The sequence below is a fragment of the Homo sapiens genome, chromosome 13 (assembly GCF_000001405.40).
Source record: "Homo sapiens chromosome 13, GRCh38.p14 Primary Assembly".
Classification (NCBI taxonomy): domain Eukaryota; kingdom Metazoa; phylum Chordata; class Mammalia; order Primates; family Hominidae; genus Homo; species Homo sapiens.
Window position 1 is genome coordinate 69,407,592 of NC_000013.11, and position 2,892 is coordinate 69,410,483.

General features: G+C 35.5%; 1 pseudogene; it reads right to left on the reverse strand.

Moving 5' to 3' along the window:
- Positions 1 to 338: 338 nt before the first annotated feature.
- SRSF1P1 (serine and arginine rich splicing factor 1 pseudogene 1) lies at positions 339 to 1,250 on the reverse strand (annotated as a pseudogene).

A 2,892-nucleotide genomic window follows, 5' to 3' on the forward strand; every position in this document is an offset into this window, starting at 1 on the left:
TGGGAAGAGCACTTGAGCCCGGGAGGCAGAGGTGCACAGAAGATAAATTTTAGAAACTTAGTTAGTATAGAGACTAATTGAAAGAAGCATTTGATATTTACAGTTCAACTGATAGTGCCAACACTTACTCTACAGCATATTACAGGGTTTGTGGTTGAAAAATTTATGTCGTTTAAAAGCTTACTGGTATTGCTACCCACCTAAGTCTAAACTAAATTCAATGCTCTCATTTGCAATTTAATTTGTAAATTAAAGTGTTTTAAATATATGAGCCAATTATGAAAAATTAGTTTAAAGTAGAAGGTGAGATTTAAAGTATTCCCAACTGGATTATGTACACCAATACATTGGAACTTTCCATTTTGCTTCATTTTTTCTTAAGAAAATAAAATAGCAATGCTCTAACAGTCACAGAGAGGATATGCAGATTTAGCAATATTGATATTATCCTCTATCTTAGATTTAAAGATACTCTATACCTACATGTACACTACCAGCAGGTCACACATTACCAGTTGTAACTAAGCACTGTGACAAATTAGTCAGTTCTTCCCACATTAGTTCTTATTAAGACAAAAGATGTTTGGGAGGAAGCAAAATAGTTACAAAATGAGCAATGTAATGATCTAAACTTGGTATTATCCAGCTTCCCAGCCACAAAGGTAATATCTTCTTTCTCTACATCCTTCATGACACCATGCCATCTTGGTAAACCTCAGCATGGCATACACCACCTGCTTCATGCATGTGATCTTTTAACTCCTGCCAGCTTCCACCTGGAGGCAGCCCAGAGACAACCACTCTGTTTTCAGACCACCTGGGTAGGGGAGCCATGGAAACCTTGGGGAGTTCCGCTGCCTCCTTGGCCTGTGCCAAGGCCGTTTGTAGGAGACTCCACCAGCATAAGGCATCTGTCATAATCACAGCTATGGAGACCATACACTGCATCTTCCTCATCGTGGCTGTTCAAACTCAACAAAGGCCAAGGGAGGTCCATGGGATTCTTGAGGTCCGTGTCACAGATAGTGCCCATATTTATAGATCACGTCCTCAGTGTCCTTGGTTGGGATACCTGAAGGTAAGTTATCCACATAGATGTGACAATTCTTTTTCCCCGCCTGTCCACGAGTCATGCGGCTTCCCAACATGGCAGCCACAGAAAGCGTGACCTCAGCACACACCTTCCCACCAAGCCTAGCCTAGCTGAGCACCCCTAGTCACACCACGCCCCAAAATCCCTCCAAAATGGCCAAAGGTTTTTCTTAATAAATGTATTTGCCTCAATAAAAATATCCTTTTGTGGAGTCAAGAATGAATAAACATTCTGTTTTGTCATATGTATGCTGTTGAAAGTTTGGGAAACAGATAAATACTCTTGAAGACTTTTTAAAGTAAAAGCCAGCTGATCATGAGTGTTGTGAGATGTGATATGTTACCCATAATGTATTTCTCACATACTGAAGTTCCATCTGTCTACACTCTTGACTTCTTTGTTATGCATGATTATTATTATAAGCTAAAATTGGATGCAAGAAGTAAAAACTGAAATGAAATAAGGGGGAGTGAAAAAATATTAATTCTTAAAGGTTTAGGGAACTAATTCTAAAAAAAAATGTTCTAGTACTAACTATACAAGAAAGAATACATAAAAATAATCTTATAGAAGTGTTGATGCTACCAAAAATTTTGACACATATCATATTCAATTATAAATTAAATTTAAAAAATGAAGTTGACAGTATATAAATTTTGTCTGTTACTGGTAAATATAGTAATATTTGTAATAATAGAATATGTAAAATAATAGCTTCAAAAGCATTTAGATGTTCTGCATTCTTGTCAGTTGAAACACAACATAATCTGACATTTCAGAGACAATTATAAGTAAAGAAGACATTGAATGCATTCCCCTGACCAAAAAACTTCCCCATCAATGAGCATCACTTCCCAATCAATACAGTTGTGCTATTTGAGTATAGTCCATCTTGATCCTATGCCACACCAATATATAACAATTTCAAGGAATTCTTTGGCATAAGACAGCAACTGATAGTCTGCCAGACTTACTGTTGAATAAAGTAGAAAGTAATATATTCTAACATTAATATAGATAATTTTATTCTAATGACTAATTATCTGAGTAGAAAAGAAAGCTGATGGTTTTACTGCTCATTTAGTCTTTCCCAAGAGCCTATTCAATTATGTCTGTTTCTACACACAAATTTCCAATTCTTTCCCCAAATCAGCATTTATTCTGTAGTGCAATAATCCAGACTTAATACCTAAACTTTTCTCTATTTTTGTTTCCTGTTCTAGACAATATTTCAGGGACTGTGTTGAGTTCCTTGTATTTAATATCTTGTAGTGTGTGTACACACACACACACATAATAGGTATTGTAACTTTGTCTCTAGAGAGGAAACTTGAAGCTCAAAAAAGTTGAGTACTTTTTTTTAATTATATCACTGGTGGGGTTCATATCAAGTTTAGCCTGTTGCCTTTCTATCCTTATTCTTATATCCCTATGTTTTCCGCCTCCACATTGTTGGAGACTGCATTCTTGGAATGGATTCTTGGAATGCATTGTCTTCCCAAGACCCTTTTTGACATCCTACCTGTCTTTAACAGTATAATGTATTTCCATAAAATCTCTTAATTCTTATTAGGAATGATTTTCCAAAATGGAGCTGTGACCACCCCTTGCTTTAGTCTCAATCTGACATTAATAATATCTATTTCTTTATGATCATTACCAGGTTAATGTTTCTTGAGACCACAACAATGTTACCCATAGCTTTAAAAATGTAGAGATTCAAAAACTCTTTAAATCCATTGAATTAGACATTTGTGATTAAAAATTACATAAAGAGTTTATAGTGTTAAATAAGTCAT